General features: G+C 55.1%; 1 protein-coding gene across 1 annotated transcript, besides 6 other annotated features; it reads left to right on the top strand.

Annotated features, from left to right (window-relative positions):
* On the top strand, positions 122-18,511 carry PRDM12 (PR/SET domain 12). The gene is made up of 5 exons (NM_021619.3): positions 122-404; positions 2,136-2,326; positions 3,686-3,841; positions 14,057-14,168; positions 16,776-18,511. The coding sequence occupies exons 1-5, from the start codon at positions 182-184 to the stop codon at positions 17,195-17,197; spliced, it is 1,104 nt and encodes a 367-aa protein (NP_067632.2). The 5' UTR covers positions 122-181; the 3' UTR covers positions 17,198-18,511.
* Positions 696-1,369: an enhancer, noted in NCBI's record as "VISTA enhancer hs876". NCBI's record gives its function as "enhancer in: neural tube[7/11] | hindbrain (rhombencephalon)[7/11] | midbrain (mesencephalon)[7/11] | forebrain[7/11]" and the evidence as "EXISTENCE:transgenic organism evidence [ECO:0001131][PMID:17130149]".
* Positions 2,123-3,322: an enhancer, noted in NCBI's record as "CDK7 strongly-dependent group 2 enhancer chr9:133541982-133543181 (GRCh37/hg19 assembly coordinates)". NCBI's record gives its function as "activates an origin of replication core promoter dependent on BRD2, BRD4, P300/CBP, MED14 and CDK7 cofactors, with strong dependence on CDK7, by STARR-seq in HCT116 cells {active_cell/tissue: HCT116}" and the evidence as "EXISTENCE:reporter gene assay evidence [ECO:0000049][PMID:35650434]".
* Positions 16,721-16,820: a silencer, noted in NCBI's record as "silent region_20403". NCBI's record gives its function as "represses an Ori minimal core promoter by ATAC-STARR-seq in GM12878 lymphoblastoid cells {active_cell/tissue: GM12878}" and the evidence as "EXISTENCE:reporter gene assay evidence [ECO:0000049][PMID:35858748]".
* Positions 16,970-17,645: an enhancer, noted in NCBI's record as "H3K4me1 hESC enhancer chr9:133556829-133557504 (GRCh37/hg19 assembly coordinates)". NCBI's record gives its function as "activates a minimal SCP1, AML or CMV promoter by ChIP-STARR-seq in primed H9 embryonic stem cells {active_cell/tissue: H9 hESC(primed)}" and the evidence as "EXISTENCE:reporter gene assay evidence [ECO:0000049][PMID:30033119]".
* Positions 17,301-17,540: a silencer, noted in NCBI's record as "silent region_20404". NCBI's record gives its function as "represses an Ori minimal core promoter by ATAC-STARR-seq in GM12878 lymphoblastoid cells {active_cell/tissue: GM12878}" and the evidence as "EXISTENCE:reporter gene assay evidence [ECO:0000049][PMID:35858748]".
* Positions 17,691-17,860: an enhancer, noted in NCBI's record as "active region_29155". NCBI's record gives its function as "activates an Ori minimal core promoter by ATAC-STARR-seq in GM12878 lymphoblastoid cells {active_cell/tissue: GM12878}" and the evidence as "EXISTENCE:reporter gene assay evidence [ECO:0000049][PMID:35858748]".

The following is an 18,975-nucleotide window of genomic DNA, read 5'->3' on the forward strand; positions in this document are numbered from 1 at the left end:
TCCTCCCAGTCGCCCCCTCACCTCCCGCTCCCTCCTGCGTCCTCCTCCTCTCCGTCCTCCCCCTGCTCTGGTTCCTTCTCCATCGCAGCGCTCTCCTCTCGCCCCTTGGGCTCCCCTCTCGCCCGCCCACCTCCCCCGTCGGCCCGGCCGTCCCCCGGCGCCGGGGAGCTCCGGGCCGCCCATGATGGGCTCCGTGCTCCCGGCTGAGGCCCTGGTGCTCAAGACCGGGCTGAAGGCGCCGGGACTGGCGCTGGCCGAGGTTATCACCTCCGACATCCTGCACAGCTTCCTGTACGGCCGCTGGCGCAACGTGCTCGGGGAGCAGCTCTTCGAGGACAAGAGCCACCACGCCAGCCCCAAGACAGCCTTCACCGCCGAGGTGCTGGCGCAGTCCTTCTCCGGCGGTGAGTCCAGCCGTCGGAGCCCGGCGCAATCCCTCCTCCCGGCGACCCCCATTCCCGTCCTGGCGATGCGCGAGACGCGGCTGGGATACCCGGCCTCGCTGCTACTCGCGCCAACCTGGGCTCTCCCGGCGCTCGGTGCACCTCAGTTTCCCCATGGGCCAAACCAGGACGCGAGCCACCAAGCAGCTCCGCAGCCCACCCGGCTCAAGGACCGACCCCGGCGACCCCGTCGCTCGGCCCCGACGCCCCCGCCGGCCCCTCCCTTCCCCTCCTGCGCTTGAGCTGGCGGGTTCCCGGCATTTACAGCCTTACTAGGCGTGTAATAGCAGTTGACTCAAAAAGAAGGGGTTTTAAATTCATTTAGTTAACTTGGGCTTGACCCACGAAAGTTCCCACTTAAACCAAGAACTTTAAAAGGCAGCCGGGGCTGGGGAGGGGGTGGAGGGAGGGCGGGCGGGGAGAAAAAGCCGCGGGGAGAGCGAGGGAGAGAAAGAGAGAGCGAGAAAAGTTTCTTTTCTTTAAGATGTCTCAAGTTCTTATTCCTCATTCATCAACCCGCAAACAATATCTTTCCCTGGCTCTGGCATCTCTGCGCGTCGCCCTCTTTTCCCCCTTTACGATTTCTGTTCCTCTCTTAATTTACCGTGAAGACTAATTCCACTTCCATTCACGCTATGTCAACCATCTAATCCCCCTTTTTTGTAAGGGGAATTCCTCGGCCCCTTTTAAACAAGTCCCCTCCGCATTGAGCTACAATTTACTGCTACAGCATTCTTCCAGGGCTAATGAATTTAGAATTAGCAATTTCTTTCGAATGGAGCCGAATGAATGCGATCACTTTAACAGCGTGACAAATTGCCCGCCGCGCCGCAATGGACACCGTTTAACCCCCCCCTTTCAGCCGGCCCGCTCGCCGGGTATTTTCCCAGGTAGCTTAGAGGGGAACCTTGTAAGACATGGAGGCCGCCCTTGTGCGCCTCGCCGCTTCCAGCCCTGCCGCAGATGCCCGACAGGGGAACCCTCGGGGAGCTGGGGGCCGCCGCGGCTCCTCCCCGCCCAGAGAGATGACATCGGGGTTTGTCTGAGCCCGGGCGCCGCCCTCCCTGGCACCCCAGGGCCTGGGAGCAGAGAGGGACTCGGGCGCGCCCGGGGTCACACAGCGAGCGCAGAGCCTGGCCAGCTGCTGCCGGTGCTTCTTTGGCACCTCCAACACCTGCCAGCCCGAGGTCTGTCCCCAGCGCTGATCACGGCCCGGCTCCTCTGCCAGTGCCCAGAGCCTGGACACACAGTGGGCTCCCGGAAGCCGACTAGGCGAAAGAGTCTCCGGTTGGCCTTCACCTCCTTGCAGGACCTGGCCTCAGTTTCCCTGTGCATAAAACCGCTCGCTGCCGTTGGCTCATTAATTCTTAAACTTATCCGGGGCAGAGGATGGAAGAAGTTGCGAATGCTTTGAGAATTCGCGGAGAGACTAAAAACCCACTTCTAAAAATGATCCCCAACGCACCACTCGCTTTCCAGGGCACGGAGGGTCTCCAGGTTGCAAACAGAGGAGAGGTCGTTGAGCCTCCGCACATCCGACTTCCTCCACACCCGGGTGGCTTCTCTGGATTTGGGGCCGACTTGGGTTTGGCTGGTCTGGGCAGGACCGAAGCCGGGGTCCCGGCGGGGAAGGAAGGGCCGGGCCTCGGCTGCCTCGGGCTCTGACCGGTTTTCCTGGCCCCGCCGCCGCAGAAGTGCAGAAGCTGTCCAGCCTGGTGCTGCCTGCGGAGGTGATCATCGCTCAGAGCTCCATCCCTGGCGAGGGCCTCGGCATCTTCTCCAAGACGTGGATCAAGGCGGGAACCGAGATGGGCCCCTTCACCGGCCGCGTGATCGCCCCGGAGCACGTGGACATCTGCAAGAACAACAACCTCATGTGGGAGGTACGCGCGGGCTGGGGCAGAGGGGCGCAAGGGCCGGCGAGGGGCGCTGGTCGCGGGTAGGACTCGGGCGTCCGGCCGTCGCCGCTTCCACCCGGGCTGAGAGCGGCGGACACTCCTGGCCTGGACGCCCCCTGAGCCGGGACTCTAAGCCGCCCGAGCCTGGAGCTCACCCCGCCTCTAGGCTCCTCCCAACCCGTGCCGAAAATCCGACCCTCCTTCCCCCGGACACCCTGGCAGAGCAAGACTGTGGTTGGCTCCACTTGGCAGATGAGGGCACTGAGACCCAGAGCAGTCAGGTCGCTTGCCCAGGGTCCCCACGCGCCATCCCTCCAGGCCTCTTCCCAGCCACTTACATTCTTTCCCTGGCCCCGGAAGCAGCCTGGGAAGCCCCTCAAGGCCAGTCCTGGGCTGGGGGTGAGGTGGGGCTGGAAAGGAGAATGCCTGGTGAAAGCAGAATGACATTCACGATGACTGTGGCTGAGGTGGCATTGAGTCAGCTTCTGTGTCCCCAGCCTGCAGTCACGGATGACCTCAGTAGCCCATGCCTTACTGTTCCCTTTTCACGGAGGCTCCAAGAGGCTTCCATCCTAGGCCTTTCCACCCATCACAGTGCCAGTGCCAGGGAGGGCCACCCCTGTGCTTCTTCCTAACTTTGCAGAACGGGAAACCCACTGAGGCCAGACTGGTGCACACCCTTCCTAAACTCATTCCCTCGCCCGCTCCCCCACTCCAGCTCCCCCCGGCGGACCCTGGAGAAGCCCAACTTGATAGAACTGCGGGATGGCCCAGAGGCCTCTCTTGACCTCATCTCCCTCCTCTGGAGGGCTGGACCACTAACCACCTTCTCCAGTTGCTGGGTCAGGAAGTTGGGGTCCAGTTTGACCTCTGAGTGGCCTTGGCAGCTCCCGTGAAGGGGTTTAGGCCAAGCTGGAGTGCCACAGTGACCCAGCCCTCCCTCCCTGGACTCCAGGATCCTCCCTCTCTGAGGCCTGGCTGATGTTCCCAGTGCCATGGGGAGCACCTCTGCATCCCTTGAGAGAGCTCAGGGCCACTTTGTCTGGGCAGTGATCCCTTGGAGACCCTCTTCTTCTGGGGGTAGGGAGGACACGGCAACAGGAGCGTGTATCATGGTCAGCCCATAGAGCCCTGGAGACTGATCCCCTGTGGGCCACTTCCAGCCGGCTAGCTTCAGGCAAGTCCCTGCACCTCTCCAGCCTTCCTTTCTTCAGTGGGAAAATGAAGCTTTATCCACTTCCTGGGGCTGTTGTGAGGATGGAGAGTGTGTGTGTGGATGTGCCTGGAAGATGGTACACATGGCATAGCCCTGCCTTACCTGGTCCTTGATCCATCTGTGCCCAGGTGTTCAATGAGGATGGCACGGTGCGCTACTTCATCGATGCCAGCCAGGAGGACCACCGGAGCTGGATGACCTACATCAAGTGTGCACGTAACGAACAGGAGCAGAACCTGGAGGTGGTCCAGATCGGCACCAGCATCTTCTACAAGGCCATTGAGGTGTGTGTGTGTGTGTGCACTGTTGTGTAGGGACCAGCCGGTAAACCCGGCGGGGGGAGGTGTGCAGGGCAGCGGTGTCCAGGAACCACAGTGGACAGAGGGGAGCTGACACTGGCCTCGCTGGCTCTGCGCAGGCCATGGGGCTGTGGCAGACAGGTGGGTCTCCAGACATCCCGCTGTCCAGGTGTGTGACCTCCATGGGAAGCTTTCTGCTGCAGATCAGAAATGATGGAGCTCTCAACTTGACGGCATTGGGAATGTCACGAGCATCTCCATAGTGAGGTCCCCAGATGTTGGCTGACAGTTTCCTGAGGTTCAGGGGTCACAGAGACACAGAGAAGCAAGATGGGGAGAGGCGGCCCAGGGAATGCGTTGGGGTGGGAGAGAGGGCGTGTGTCTGCAGCCGTTTAGCTGTCTGATGGCCCTCATTCTGCATGCATGGGCACCAGTGGCTTACGGCTCATGACTCCAGACTCAGCGATGGCTCCCCGTGTGTCAGGCTTCTCCCAGATGCTGGATATGCAGTATGGTATTTAATCCCCACGGGGCCCCAGGAGGAGGATTCTGTGATTATTTACAGTTTACTGACCAGAAAACCAGGTCTCCCTCGGTGGCAGCAGACTTGGGGGTTTTGCCGGCCATCTGGGGGGAGTGTTAGCACTAATAGCTGCGCTTCCTGAGCCTTCTCAGAGGAGACAGACAGGGCCAGGTAACAGCCTGAACACGGTGGCTTATGCCTGTAATCCCAGCACTTTGGGAGGCTGAGGTGAGTGAATTGCCGAGGCGGGCAGATCACAAGGTCAGGAGATCGAGACCATCCTGGCTAACATGGTGAAACCCCGTCTCTACTAAAAATACAAAAAATTAGCCGGGCATGGTGGCAGGCGCCTGTAGTCCCAGCTACTCGGGAAGCTGAGGCAGGAGAATGGCGTGAACCCGGAAGGCGGAGCTTGCAGTGAGCCGAGATCACGCCACTGCACTCCAGCCTGGGCGACAGAGCGAGACTGCATCTCAAAAATAAATAAATAAATAAATAAAAATAAAAATACAAATACAAAAATTAGTGGGGCGTGGTGGCAGACGCCTGTAATCTCAGCTACTCAGGAGGCTGAGGCATGAGAATTGCTTGAACCAGGGAGGCAGAGGTTGCAGTGAGCCGAGATAGTGTCACTGCACTCCAGCCTGGGTGACACAGTGAGACTCCATCTCAAAAAAAAAAAGGCTTGGCACAGTGGCTCAAGCCTGTAATCCCAGCATTTTGGGAGGCCGAGGTGGGCAGATCACGAGGCCAGGAGATCGAGACCATCCTGGCTAACATGGTGAAACCCCGTCTCTACTAAAAAATACAAAAAATTAGCCGGGTGTGGTTGCGGGTGCCTGTAGTCCCAGCTACTCGGGAGGCTGAGGCAGGAGAATGGCGTGAACCCGGGAGGCGGAGCTTGCAGTGAGCCGAGATGGCACCACTGTACTCCAGCCTGGGTGACAGAGTGAGACTCCATCTCAAAAAAAAAAAAAAAAAAAAAAGGTAACCGGTAAATATCACTTCCTGTGGTGTGGCAGGGGTGAGGCTGAGCCAGGAAGGTTCAGAGGAGGGTGGGAAGAGGAGGGTGGGAAGAGGAGGGCTTCCTGGTAGGGCAGTGCCTGGTGGCAGAAAAGATCCAGGTATCTGGCCAGTGGCTGAGGGTGCAAACCAAGCAGAGACGTGGTTGCCAGGGCAGGCCCACACTGGGACCCTCCCTGGACAGTGTCCTTTGGCGGGAAATCTGGCCCAGGAGTAGAGGGAAGCTACCCACAGGCTGCTGGGGGTAGGCTGGTAGCAAGTGCTGTGCAGAGGCAGTCAGGTGCTTCCCACCCCACTTCTCTGCTCCCCTTGGGGTTGGGCTAGGGCTTGGTGGAGATTTTTGGGTGTTCTGGAGGAGCAGAGAGTGACCGACCTTTAGTCCATGTTCCATTTTCTCCCCAGGACTCAGACCTTGAAGCTCTTTCTAAGACCCCTGGGGGTGCCAGGGCCTAGTAGCTTCTCGGATGGGTTCCTTTGGTTGTCCCTGAATAACAACACCCCAGAGACTCTCCCAGAGGTGACAGCAGGGGGCCTAGCCTGGGTCCCAGCTGAGGGGGGTGGTGCTTGGAGGAGCAGGAGGTGGAGGATAAGAAAAAACTGAGCGGTTCCTGAATTGGGTTTGAAGTGAGGTAAGACGGCCGTGGGGCAGGGTGCAGAGAGCACTGAAGGTAGCCCAGGCCCAGGACAGAGGTGGCTCCTTGACCATCTGGCTGGGCCACCACATCCTAAAATTGGCTTCCAGTGTAGCTGAACCCCACATATAACAGAATGCACCCTCCCAGATCCTCACCCCACCACCCTCTGTCACACACATCTTCGCCTTCATACGCTCTTTCCCAGCCATCCTGATACAGATGTGATGGAGGGCTCCAACCCATCCCCTCACCAACCCCACACGCACACACATACCCACACATGTGAACACAAGAGACAGACCAGAAACGCCTACATCATTTTGGCAAGAGGGCTCCAGGCTGAGGCAGATGTGGGGGCCTGAGTCTCATCTCGCTGTGCAGGTCACACTGGCTAGAAGCCAAACAAAGTCAGGAAACATGAATAGACACTTAGAAATTCAGTCCGAAGGCAAGGAGGCTGAAGAATATCTTCAGGGAAGCATTTGAGTTTATAGGATTAGGAAAAATGGTCATCTACATTTGATCATGAATTTAAGTTGAAAAAAGAGGATCAGGCAGGGCATGGTGGCTCACGCCTGTAATCCCAGCATTTTCAGAGGATGAAGTGGATGAATCACCTGAGGTCAGGAGTTCAAGACCAGCCTGGCCAACATGGTGAAACCCCGTCTCTACTAAAAATACAAAAATTAGCCAGTCATGGTGGCGGGTGTCTGTAATCCCAGCTACTCCAGAGGCTGAGGCAGGAGAATTGCCTGAACCCAGGAGGCGGAGGTTGTAGTGAACTATCAGCAGCATTGCACTCCAGCCTGGGTGACAAAGTGAGACTCCGTCTCAACAACAACAACAACAAAAAAAGAGGATCAGGACACACACACACACACACACACACACACACACACACACACACACTGTATCACATATGTGATATAGACAGATCCACCAATTTGGCTATCAGTGCTTTTACAGAGTTAGCAAGCCTTCTAAGAAGGGGCTGTCTGCGTGAATGACAAGGAAATAAAATGCCACCCATTTTACTTTTAAAGTGGATACATTTTTTTGTGGTGGCAGATTTCTCAAACCATTTTGTCACAATGTCAGATTCCACTTACCAGATAAATTGTGTGTCTGGGTGTATGTGGCCACCCTCAAGATGAGGCCGAGGCCCAGAGCTCATGCAGCCCTTCTGGGCTAGACTGGAAGATACTGCTGTTCCCCAGGCCAATCCCTGGATGACTTGGGAATCAATTGGCTGTTTATTCTCTGCGTGTGGGTGAGTTAGCCAAGGAGAAGGACCTCTGCTGTGATGTTTTCTTAAACTTTCTGCCACTCAGAACTGCCACTCATAGTTCATAACGGTAACCCATTACTTACCAAAAATAGGAAGGAACATCTTTATTCAATAAGCAGAATATACTATTGCTGCTCTAAAACTTTCCATAAATACAGAATAGCAGCCTTCTCAACAGAGACGAAGGCAACGGGGCTTTAGAGCCCAGGCGGTCAGTGGAGGTTCCGCAGCAGGGCGTGCATCTGGCTGGATCCACTGATGTGGCCCCTGGGGAACCTCCTGGCTTACTCCAGTCACAGAATTTACTATAACTTCAGGTGCCTAAAATGACAGTTCTAGAAAGTGCCTAGCACATAGTAAGTGGCCACTAAATGTTGAAGGAATAAAAGGGTCTTAGCAACTTTTTTATTATTATTTTTTTTGAGATGGAGTCTTACTCTGTCATCTAGGCTGGAGTGCAATGGTGCAATCTTGGCTCACTGCAACCCCTGCCTCCCAGATTCAAGCAATTCTCCTGCCTCCCAAGCAGCTGAGATTACAGGTGTGTGCCACCACGCCTGGCTAATTTTTGTATTTTTAGTAGATTTCCCCATGTTGGCCAGGCTGGTCTCAGACTCCTGACCTCAAGCGATCTGCCCGCCTCGGCCTCCCAAAGTGCTGGGATTACAGGCGTGAGCCACTGCACCTGGCCAGCAACTATTAAAAAATAGAATCTGCTCAGCCCTCGGGGTGCTGCTCTCTGTTACTATCCTCATTTTTATGACGGCGAAACTGAAATGTTACGGAGATTACGGGAAGTTGCTGAGCTGCGATGGGAACCTAGGCCCATCTGAGCCCTGAGCTGGAGTGCTGAGTCACCATGCCATGTGGCCTCCCTGGCCAATATCTATTTGCTGGAACTCTATTAATTGGTGTGTCGGGACATCTGTGGTACAATGGAAATTGATGTTTGTCCAGATGACATTGAGATCCTTTTACACTGGGGTTTCAGACCCTGTGGAGAAGGGGAGGGTATTTGCAGTCTCCTGGGAGCATGTTCAGTGGCAGGATGTGAATTTACAGCAGGAGAACAAACCAAAAATTCTGTCATTTCCAATTTATAATAAAAATTCAGAAAGTGGGGAAGGACAGATCTTCTGGGCTGATAGGGCCCAGAGAAGCACGTTGACAGGGCATGTCCATTTGTCAAAAGAGACTCGGGCGCTGGTATTCCAGAGTTTTACTGATGTGGATTTTGTGGTACAGGACTCAGTTCCTTTGGGAATTGCTTTGTTTGTTTTGTGTCCTGAGCCTATCCCTGCTCCCCAGAAAAGTGAATGACCAGCTGATCCTGCTTCTCCAAGCCCCAGCAGAGAGTCCCAGCCAGCCAGGCCAGGCCTGAGTCTCAGCAGTAAAGAGTGCTGCCGAGGGGGCCTAGAGGGCACGGTGGCTGTTCTTTGCATCCAGGCGGTCAGCTGGCGGGACCCCGGGAGCCTCTGCACAGTGATCCCAGGGTTCCAGGGAAGAAGCTGCAGGTTCCTGGGTTTCCCGGGCTTGATAGTAGAAGTTTGTTGATGGCGGGTGCCTGGGAGCAGGCAGACACCAGAAGCCTGGGCACGGGGCACAGAAGGGCTGAGAGAGACTCCCAGTTCCCAGCTTCTGGGCAGTTGGGGCTGCTGGCTTACAGCTGTCTGGAAATATGTGTCATTCTCAATTCCAGCAGCCTCTTTTTTTTTTCTTTTGGAGACAATCTTGCTCTGTCTCTGAGGCTGGAGTGCTCAGCTCACTGCAACCTCCACCTCCTGGGTTCAGGTGATTAAACAATTCTCGTGCCTCAGCCACCTGAATAGATGGGAGTACAGGCATGTGCCACCACTCACGGCTAATTTTTTTTTTTTTTTTTTTTTTTTTTGAGACAGAGTTTCACTCTTGTTGCCCAGGCTGGAGTGCAATGATGCCATCTTGGCTCACCGCAACCTCTGCCTCCTGGATTCAAGCGATTCTCCTGCCTCAGCCTCCTGCGTAGCTGGGATTACAGGCATGCGCCAGCACTCCCGGCTAATTTTGTATTTTAAGTAGACACAGGGTTTCTCCATGTTGGCCAGGCTGGTCTCGAACTCCCAACCTCAGGTGATTCGCCCACCTTGGCCTCCCAAAGTGCTGGGATTACAGGCCTGAGCCACCGAGCCTGGCTATTATTTTTTCTTTTTGTTTTTCTTTTCTTTCTTTCTTTCTTTTTTTTTTTTTTTTTTTTTTGAGACAGAGTCTTGCTCTGTCTCCCAGGCTGGAGTGCAATGGCGCCATCTCAGCCTACTGCAACCTCTGCCTCCCAGGTTCAAGAGATTCTCCTGCCTCAGCCTCCCAAATAGCTGGGACTACAGGTACATGCCACCATACCCAGCTAATTTTTGTATTTTTAGTAGAGACAGGGTTTCACTATGTTAGCTAGGCTGATCTCAAACTCCTGACCTCGTTATCTGCCCACCTCGGCCCCCCAAAGTGCTGGGATTACAGGCGTGAGCCACTGCGCCCGGCCCAATTTTTGTATTTTTAGTAGAAACAGGGTTTCACCATGTTGGCCAGGCTGGTCTTGAACCCCTGGCCTCAAGTGATCTACCCACCTCGGCCTCTCAAAATGCTGGGATTACAGGTGAGAGCCACCACACCCAAACTGTAGGCTCTTCTTAACTGATTTTCTTGCTTTTAAAAGATAATTTGTGTGTGTGTGTGTGTGTGTGTGTGTGTGTGTGTGTGTGTATAGAAGTAATATGTGCTCATTATTTTTTAAAAAGTCAGAGGCATGATGTAGATGGCATCATGCTACTCTCCATGAACTGTAAGTCAGCATTTTAAAATAGTCTCGAAATGGCAAACGCTTCTGGGGAAAGACAAGCAGCAAACCAGCGACAGTGGCTGGCATCCAGAGTGGCAGAGAGTGACTGCTCATTTCATACCATGTTATATGTTTATACAATGCGGTCCATATGTCTGCATCGCTGTTTTAATTTTTAAATTCATTAGTAAAATTAATTTTAGTACATTAAAAGCGTTCTTAGTAAATAAATGACTCACCCTTATACTGCAATAGTCACCATCAGAGTTCTTATTTTATTTATTTTTTGAGATGGAGTTTCACTTTGTTGGTCGGACAGTAGGGCAGTGGCATGATCTCAGCTCACTGCAACCTCCGCCTCCCAAGTTCAGGCGATTCTCCTGCCTCAGCCTCCTGAGCAGGTGGGATTACAGGTGCCCACCACCACGCCTGGCTAATTTTTGTATTTTTGGTAGAGACGGGGTTTCACCATGTTGGCCAGGCTGGTCTCAAACTCCTGACCTCAAGTGATCTGCCCGCCTCGGCCTCCCAAAGTGCTGGGATTACAGGCATGAGCCACTGCACCCAGCCTACTGTTACTGTATTTATATTTAATAATAGTTGTTTTCAATTAAAATTAAAAGGCCGGTGTTGGCTTAGTATTTGATGACCCCCAGGCCTGGAGCCTGGAGGTGGAGTTCAGCTGGGGGCTTGCTGAGCCTCCCATCTCATCCCACATCTGTGCTGGAGGAGTTGGTTTCCCTTCTGGGGGAGATGGGGCTGGGAATTGCGGGTACCTGCATGAGGCTGGTGTCCTCGGAGCATTCGGGCCCAGCCTGTGCTCTTGCTGGACACTGAAGACAGAACCTCAGTCACCCTGGGCTTCCACCGAACCAGCGGCCTCTGCAGCTCTGCTGGCTCAGTGAGCACTCCTGCAGGGACCTGGATGCGCCAGAAACCGCTGCCAGCTTCTCTGAGAGGTTGGCGAGCTCCAGGAAAAACAATCACTGGCGCTTCCATGTCTCGATTATGCAAAGAGCTTTATGCATATGCTCCACTGCACCCCAAACACCACTCAGTGAGGCCATGGCAATGTGAGGAAACAGGCCCCACGACGTGAGGCGACTTGCCCGAGGTGACTTGCTCAGCAGATGGGGAGCCCTAGTGGATCCCAACATGTCTGACTCCAGACTGAGCAGGAACCCCCTGTGGGGTGTGTTCAGTGGTCTGGGGGAGGGTGCTGATTGCTTTGGAAGAACCATGACATCAACGTGTCCGGTTTCATCCAAGACTGGAAACCAAGGGTCAGGACAATGTTGGAGGTGACTTACAACCAGAGTCTTAGAGTTGGGGGGAAACTCAGGGACCGTGTTCCCTCCCTGACCCCCTCATTTGAGGAACACAGAAAGGCAGAGTGACTTGCCTAAGGTCACACATGGACCTGGTGACAGAGGGCTCATCTGCACCATCTCATAGACAGACTTCCTTCACAATTAATTTATGTTAAATATTTCAATTCCATTATCTGCTTTTCTGGGAGGTTCACAAAACCTCTTCCTTCCACCCCAGTGAGGTCTGGAAAAAAAGTAGAATTTTTAAAAATGTAAAAAACAAAAAAAAAGCTGGGCGCGGTGGCTCACACCTGTAATCCCAGCAATTTGGGAGACCGAGGCGGGCGGATCACGAGATCAGGAGATCGAGACCATCCTGGCTAACACGGTGAAACCCCGTCTCTACTAAAAATACAAAAAATTAGCCGGGCGTGGGTGTGGTGGCGGGCACCTGTAGTCCCAGCTACTCAGGAGGCTGAGGCAGGAGAATGGCGTGAACCCAGGAGGTGGAGCTTGCAGTGAGCCAAGATCGCGCCACTGCACTCCAGCCTGGGCGACAGCGCGAGACTCCGTCTCAAAAAAAAACAAAAAAGAAAAACAAAAAAAACCACGCAAATCAGAACCTCTTTCTTCTCTGCCCCTTTCCAGCAGGGGCCTCCAGCTCTGACCTGCTGGCCTCCTGGACAGTGGCCATTACTGTGAATGAGCAGAGAGGTCACCAGGGATCTCGCTGTGGTGCCACATTCTAATCTGTCCACTTTCTTGGAGGCACCGTCTAACTTCCTGTGGCTTCTGGGACTGCGATTCATGTTTCCACATTGGCTTCTCGTCATTTACTAACCCTAAGGCTCGCCATGATGCCCCGTGAACCATGGGGGCATGTGGAAATGGATGTGGTGACTCTAGGCTGAGTCTCAGGAGGATGGCTGTCACCTAAGCCCCCTCACACTCTCCTGTTCCCACCCCTTTTCTTTCGACCTCCCCTTCTTCTTCTTTTTTTTTTCCTTGAGACAGGGTCTTGCTCTGTCACCCAGACTGGAGTGGTCACCCAGGCTGGAGTGTAGTGGTGCAATCTCGGCTTACTGCAACCTCTGCCTCCTGGGTTCAAGCAGTTCTGCCTCAGCCTCCCAAGTAGCTGGGACTACAGGCATGCGCCACCGCGCCTGGCTAATTTTTCTATTTTTTTGTAGAGACAGGGTTTTGCTATGTTGCCCAGGCTAGTCTCAAACTCCTGGCCTCAAGTAATCCACCCGCCTCAGCCTCCCAAAGTGCTAGGATTACAGGCATGAGCCACCACGCCCGACCTCCACTTTCCCTTCTTTTCAGGGGTGAGCAGAGCTTGCTGCAATGGTCTGAGGGTCTTCCAGGCTCTGACCAGAGGAAGGAAGACGTAGTGAACGCCAGAGTTCTGAGTGTGGGCTCTGCAGGCTGAACCAAGCAGACACAGAGGGGGCCCTGTCTCTGACCACAGAAGCCAACGCGGGGTCCTGGCCTGGTTTCAGACACCTCTAGATGGAATCCCATGCGATCTTTTGTGCTTCAACTAAAAAAGGACCTGCCAGGAAAACAAACCAGCTGTTGCCTGGGGGTGTCTGGGTTTCTCTGGGCACATCGGATAGTGGCCCCCAGGGGAAGGTGCCAAGGCCAGCACTTCTGGAGTCCAGGCCTTGGGAGAGTGATAGGATGTCCCTTCTCTCATACGCCCTGCCTGGCTAGGGCCTGGAGCTTCCCCACTTGGGAGGGGTAACTGGCTTCCATAAGAGGCCTGGCAGGCAGGCCCCTTGGGATGTCCCGGAGTGTGTGGCATTTATGATCAGTGCCACCCCAGAAGCAGGCCCCTTACGCCTCCCTGGATCATCACTGCAAAACCCTCTGACCAACATCCTTTGCCATGAGCCTGGGGCAGGTCCTCCCCGAGAGCATCAGAGCCCCAACATCATTTGCGGGGTTCTCTGTCATTGACCTAGGACGCGGTGAACTGGACTCTGTGTAAGGCAGTGTACCCCAATGTTTCCTGGGGTGGAGGTGTTCATCCATCCGAATGCTTCTTTTTTAGCATCTGCCGTGTGCACAGAGACACTCAGAGCCCTGTGCTTGGTCGGGAAGTACCTGTGATGTGGGATGCCTATGGGAGCTTTGGATAAGAGATGTTTCCGGAACATTATCGCCTCAGGGTATAGCCAAGTACCCTGGGGTGCCCCACAGCCCACCCTTCTTGGAAACATCTGGCTCAGCCCTGCAGCCCTGGGGGCTGGCTGACTCTAGTTCCCCGGGGTAAGAATGGAAAAGGTTTCTAGTTTTCCATCTCCCATTACTTCTGCTTGCTGTGAGGCGTCCACTCTGGTGCTGTCAGCTTGGAAGCACTCCTGTGGCTGGAGCTTGGACAGAGATGGCCTGGGCAGGGAGAGGGGGGCAGAGGGGCTCGACACCCCAGGGACTTCCGTGTTTGTGCAGCTTCCCGGGACAGCTCAGTGGAAATGGGACTGTGTGGCTTTCTCAGGGCTGAGACTGGGTCCGGGTCTCCTGGCTGTGGAGGGGTGCTCAGAGACCCCCAACTCTCACCTCCCAGCTGCGGCCTCCCTGACCTCCTCTTGCCTTCTTCCCTGCAGATGATCCCACCTGACCAGGAACTGCTGGTGTGGTACGGAAACTCACACAACACCTTCCTGGGGATCCCAGGTGTGCCCGGGCTAGAGGAGGACCAGAAAAAGAACAAGCATGGTAGGTGTTCCCCATGGGGCCGCTGAGACACAGACCCATGGAGAGGGGAGCCCAGGGAGGGGAGAGAGAGAATGAGAGAGGCAGAGAGGCTCTTGGCCTCCAGGGACCTTGGTTCAATGTCTGGCAGCATTGAGCAGATCAGACATACAGGTCCAAGGAGGCTGATGCCCCTGGAGCTGCCGCATGGGCCGGGCATGGGTGGGAGATGGTCCTCCTGCTTCCTGGCCAGAATAGACTGTCTGGGGGGTATGTGGGGGAGACCAGAGAGGCAATGAGGTGTGACAGGAGAAGAAAGGAGCTGGGCAGCAGGAGCCTGGATTGAGTTCTAGTTCTGCTGTACAATCTTGGAAATGTCCTGTGCCTCAGTTTCCTCACCTGTAAAGGGAAGGTCCTAGGCAAGATAATCTCTAAGTTCCCTTCTGGTTCTGACAACCTGTATATTTCCTTGCCCTGTCGATGATGTCTGGTGCAGGGCCTGGCACAGAGTAGATGCTCCGTATAAGCCTGTTGAAGGAAGGCAGGACAGACTGTGCCTGTGTGTGTGTCAGGGGGACACTGCCCATCACAGCAGAGACCATTTGCTCGACAACTATTTCTTGCCAAGAATTGGGCTAAACCTTTGGCAGATATCATCCCACTGGGTATTCATAAAACCTCTGTGTATTTTTTTTCTTTTTCTTTCTTTCTTCCTTTTTTTTTTTTTTTTTTTTGAGACTGAGTTTCACTCTGTCACCCAGGCTGGAACGCAGTGGCGTGATCTTGGCTCATTGCAACCTCTGCCTCCCAGGTTCAAGCAATTCTTCTGCCTCAGCCTCCCGAGTAGTTGGGATTACAGGCGTGTGCCACCATGCCCAGCTAATCTTTGCATTTGTAGTAGAGATGGGGTTTTGTTATGTTGGCCAAGCTAGTCTCAAACTCCTGACCTCAAGCGATCTGCCCACTTTGGCCTCCCAAAGTGCTGAGATTACAGGCGTAAGCCACGGCACCTGGCCTGTGAAATTTGGTTATCCATATTTTTATTTTATTTAACTTATTTTTGAGACAGAGTCTCTCTCTGTCACCCAGGCTGGAGTGCAGTGGCACTATCTTGGTTCACTACAGCCTCAACCACCTGGGCTCAAGCTATCCTCCCATCTCAGCCTCCCAGGTAGCTGGGACCACAGTCGTGCACCACCACACCTGGCTAATTTTTTAAATTTATTGTAGAGATGGGGTCTCGCCATGTTGCCCAGCTGGTCTGGAACTCCTGGGCTCAAATGATCCTCCTGCCTCTGCCTCCCAAAGTGCTGGGATTACAGGCATGAGGCACCGTGGTCAGCGGTCCTTATTTTTGGAGGATGAACCTGAGCTGGTGAGCTACTGTTTATTAAGTCCTTGCTCTGCAGCTGATGTTTTACAAACATTAATTTCTCTAGGCCGGGCATGGTGGCTTATGCCTATAATCCCAGTACTTTGGGAAGCAGAGACAGGAGGATCACTCGAGCCCAGGAGTTCCAGACCAGCCTGGTCAACATGGCAAGACCCCATCTCTACAAAAAATTTAAAAGTTAGCCAGGTGTGCTGGCACGAGCCTGTGGTCCTAGCTGCCTGGGAGGCTGAGGTGGGAGGATCGCTTGAACCCGGGAGGTCGAGGCTACAGTGAGCTGAGATGGCACCACTGCACTCCAGCCTGTGTGACAGAGCCAGACCCTGTTTCAAAAAAATAAATAAAATCTTTTTGGCCGGGCGCTGTGGCTGTAATCCCAGCACTTTGGGAGGCCGAGGTGGGTGGATCTCGAGGTCAAGAGATCGAGACCATCCTGGCCAACATGGTGAAACCCCGTCTGTACTAAAAATAGAAAAATTAGCTGGGCGTGGTGGTGCACACCTGTATTCCCAGGGAAGCTGAGGCAGGAGAACCACTTGAACCCAGGAGGCGAAGGCTGCAGTGAGCCGAGATCGCGCCACTGCACTCCAGCCTGGAGACAGAGGGAGACTCCGTCTAAAAAAAAAAAATATATATATATATATATATATATATTTTTTTTTTTTTTAACTGATCCTTACCATGTTAGTATTATCTCCATTTCAGGAAGGAGAAAACCGAGGCGCAGTTCCATGGTACAGAGTAGGCATTCAGTAAATGTTTGTGGGATGAGTTAATGAAAGGTTTGGGGGCAGGGGTCATCACAGTTGCTCCCCTTTACAGAAGGCTGCTCCAATCCAGGCACCTCTCAGGCACTGGCTAAGGCAGGTCGGGTGCTTAGCGCAGAGACCTTTCATAGACGTCTTTTCTCATCCTCTCGGGCAATCGTACGCCCGAAAAGGCAGTGCTAGCTTTCCATTTTACAGATGAGAAAGCTGAGGTTTAGCTAGGCTGAGTCGCTAAGTCCCCGAGGTCTCGCATCGCGATCGGGAGTCCAACTCCCTATTGGACCCCCCAGCCGGGGTACCCTTCGCTGTCCCTCCAGTCCGTCTGCCACCGTCCAAGCAGCACCCACCCTCAAGGACGGACCGGCCCCGGGCTGGGGGCGCTGAGGGCCCGGGCTGCGGGGCGCCGGTTCTAACGGGGCTGCTCTCTCCCCTTCTCCGTCTCCCTTCCCCCGCCCCGCCCCGCCCCGCGGCCAGAGGACTTCCACCCGGCGGACTCGGCGGCTGGCCCCGCGGGCCGCATGCGATGCGTCATCTGCCACCGCGGCTTCAACTCGCGCAGCAACCTGCGCTCGCACATGCGCATCCACACGCTGGACAAGCCCTTCGTGTGCCGCTTCTGCAACCGCCGCTTCAGCCAGTCGTCCACGCTGCGCAACCACGTGCGCCTGCACACGGGCGAGCGCCCCTACAAGTGCCAGGTGTGCCAGAGCGCCTACTCGCAGCTGGCCGGCCTGCGCGCCCACCAGAAGAGCGCGCGGCACCGGCCGCCCAGCACCGCGCTGCAGGCACACTCGCCCGCGCTGCCCGCCCCGCACGCGCACGCGCCCGCGCTCGCCGCCGCCGCCGCCGCCGCCGCCGCCGCCGCCGCGCACCACCTGCCGGCCATGGTGCTGTGAGCGCGCCCGCGCCCCCGCCGGGCCCCGCGCGCTCCTGGGTCCCCGGCACCCCGGCCCCGCAGCGCGACTCGCCCTCCAGCCCCAACCCCCGGCCCGGCGCCGCCGCGGAGCCCCGCGCGCTGGGGTTGCGCCCCGGAGGCGGATCTCAGGCACCCCCGCCTTGGCCCGTGTCGCAGATGAGGACACTGAGGGCGGCGTCCCTCACCCAGGCCACGCAGCTGGTGCGGCTGTTCGGCCGCCTCCTCTGGGAGGGGGTCCCCCTGCCTGGCCTCGCCCCCGAGTCTCCCTGCTGCTGTAGAGCCGGGCGCCCAGGCCGGCATCCCCCTCGTGGGTGGCAGGAGAGCGGACTTAGAGCCCCCGAGGGCCCCTCAGCAGAGGAAGGGGAGTCCCCTCCTCCGCCACCGAGAGTCCTGTGCTTCGGAATGAAGGGAGGGCGACCTCCTTGTCCGGGTGTGGTCGGGCGCGGGGGTTGTGGGGGCGCCATCTCCTCTTCCGGCCCCTGGGACTGGTGTCCTGAAGTGTCGGGAGTCCTTACGCAACCTTGACATGTGCGGGCTACTGGGGTCCATCGGCAGCGGGAAGAGACCCGGAGAGATGCATCTTCTGGGCCCTTCTCTCCTTTAGGCCAGCTTACCCCCAAACCTGGCTCCTGGGGACGGATGAGGAAGGAGCTCTTTGCAGTGCACCAGGCACGTTGAGAGTGGAGGCACAATGGAAATCCTCTGTGGGACCCCGAGCAAGACCCTGCACCTCTTTGGGCCTCAGTTTCCCCATCTGTAAAATGAAGGAGTTGGACCAATGCCCCCTCCCCTTCAGCTGTGACATCGTGCCTGGGAAGGCGAAATATACCCCCAGCCCCTTCCAACACACACACTCCAGCGAGAGGAGGGCAAGACTGGAACCGCTGCCCGAGAGGTTAAGGTGGCTTCTGTGGCCACGAAGCGCTTCCGAGCTGTGCCCAGTCCCGGGAATTCCGCCCAGTCTGCCCACACTTCCCTCGGTCCCTGCCCGTTTCCTCAAATTCGGGCCGTGCGCGCCCTCTGGTGTCGCCTCTCACACTTTGCAGTCATTTACCAGGATTCCCGTAGGGCGTTTTGTAAAATAAACTATAATATTAATGAAAAGTATAAAATGTATAGAGTTTTCAAGAAACTGCGTTCTACTTCCAGAAGATGGTCACTTTAACCTTGTAAATATTTATCTAAAATGATATTTACAAAACTGTAATATATTATTATTTGATTGTATATGTACAACTGTAAATACATTTGTACCTCTCTTGTATTCTAAAATAAAAATTACTTGGAACATTTATCATTTAGCATCTGAATGGGTGGACACTTTTATCTGTAGGAAGGAAATATAGAAAGTGTCTAGAAGCTGGAAAGGGGCGGGTAAGCGTTGTTCCACTTACTGGTGTGTACAGGAAAATTCTCTCTGTCACAACTGGGATGTCAGAGCTCAGTGAGATGGGCCACAGTGCAAAGCAACCGGAAATCTTGAAAGGGGCCAGGCAGATTTCTCCCGGTTTCCAGCTGGCTCAAACATCAGTGCCTTATTTTGTAACTTCTCCCAAATATTTACTTTTTTTTTTTTTTTTCATTTTAATGGCCAACTCAAAGGAGTTCAAGCAGCCAGTGGGAATGGGCCAAAATGGCCACCAAGTGCCCTCCCAATGCCTAGACTCTCCAAATGTTCTGGGCACCCATTTCCAGACCCTCTTGAAGAAGACCAGGGAGCAGGAAGACCTCTAGTTAAAGCCAGAGGGCTTCATGGTT

This window comes from Homo sapiens, chromosome 9, assembly GCF_000001405.40.
Source record: "Homo sapiens chromosome 9, GRCh38.p14 Primary Assembly".
NCBI lineage: Eukaryota > Metazoa > Chordata > Mammalia > Primates > Hominidae > Homo > Homo sapiens.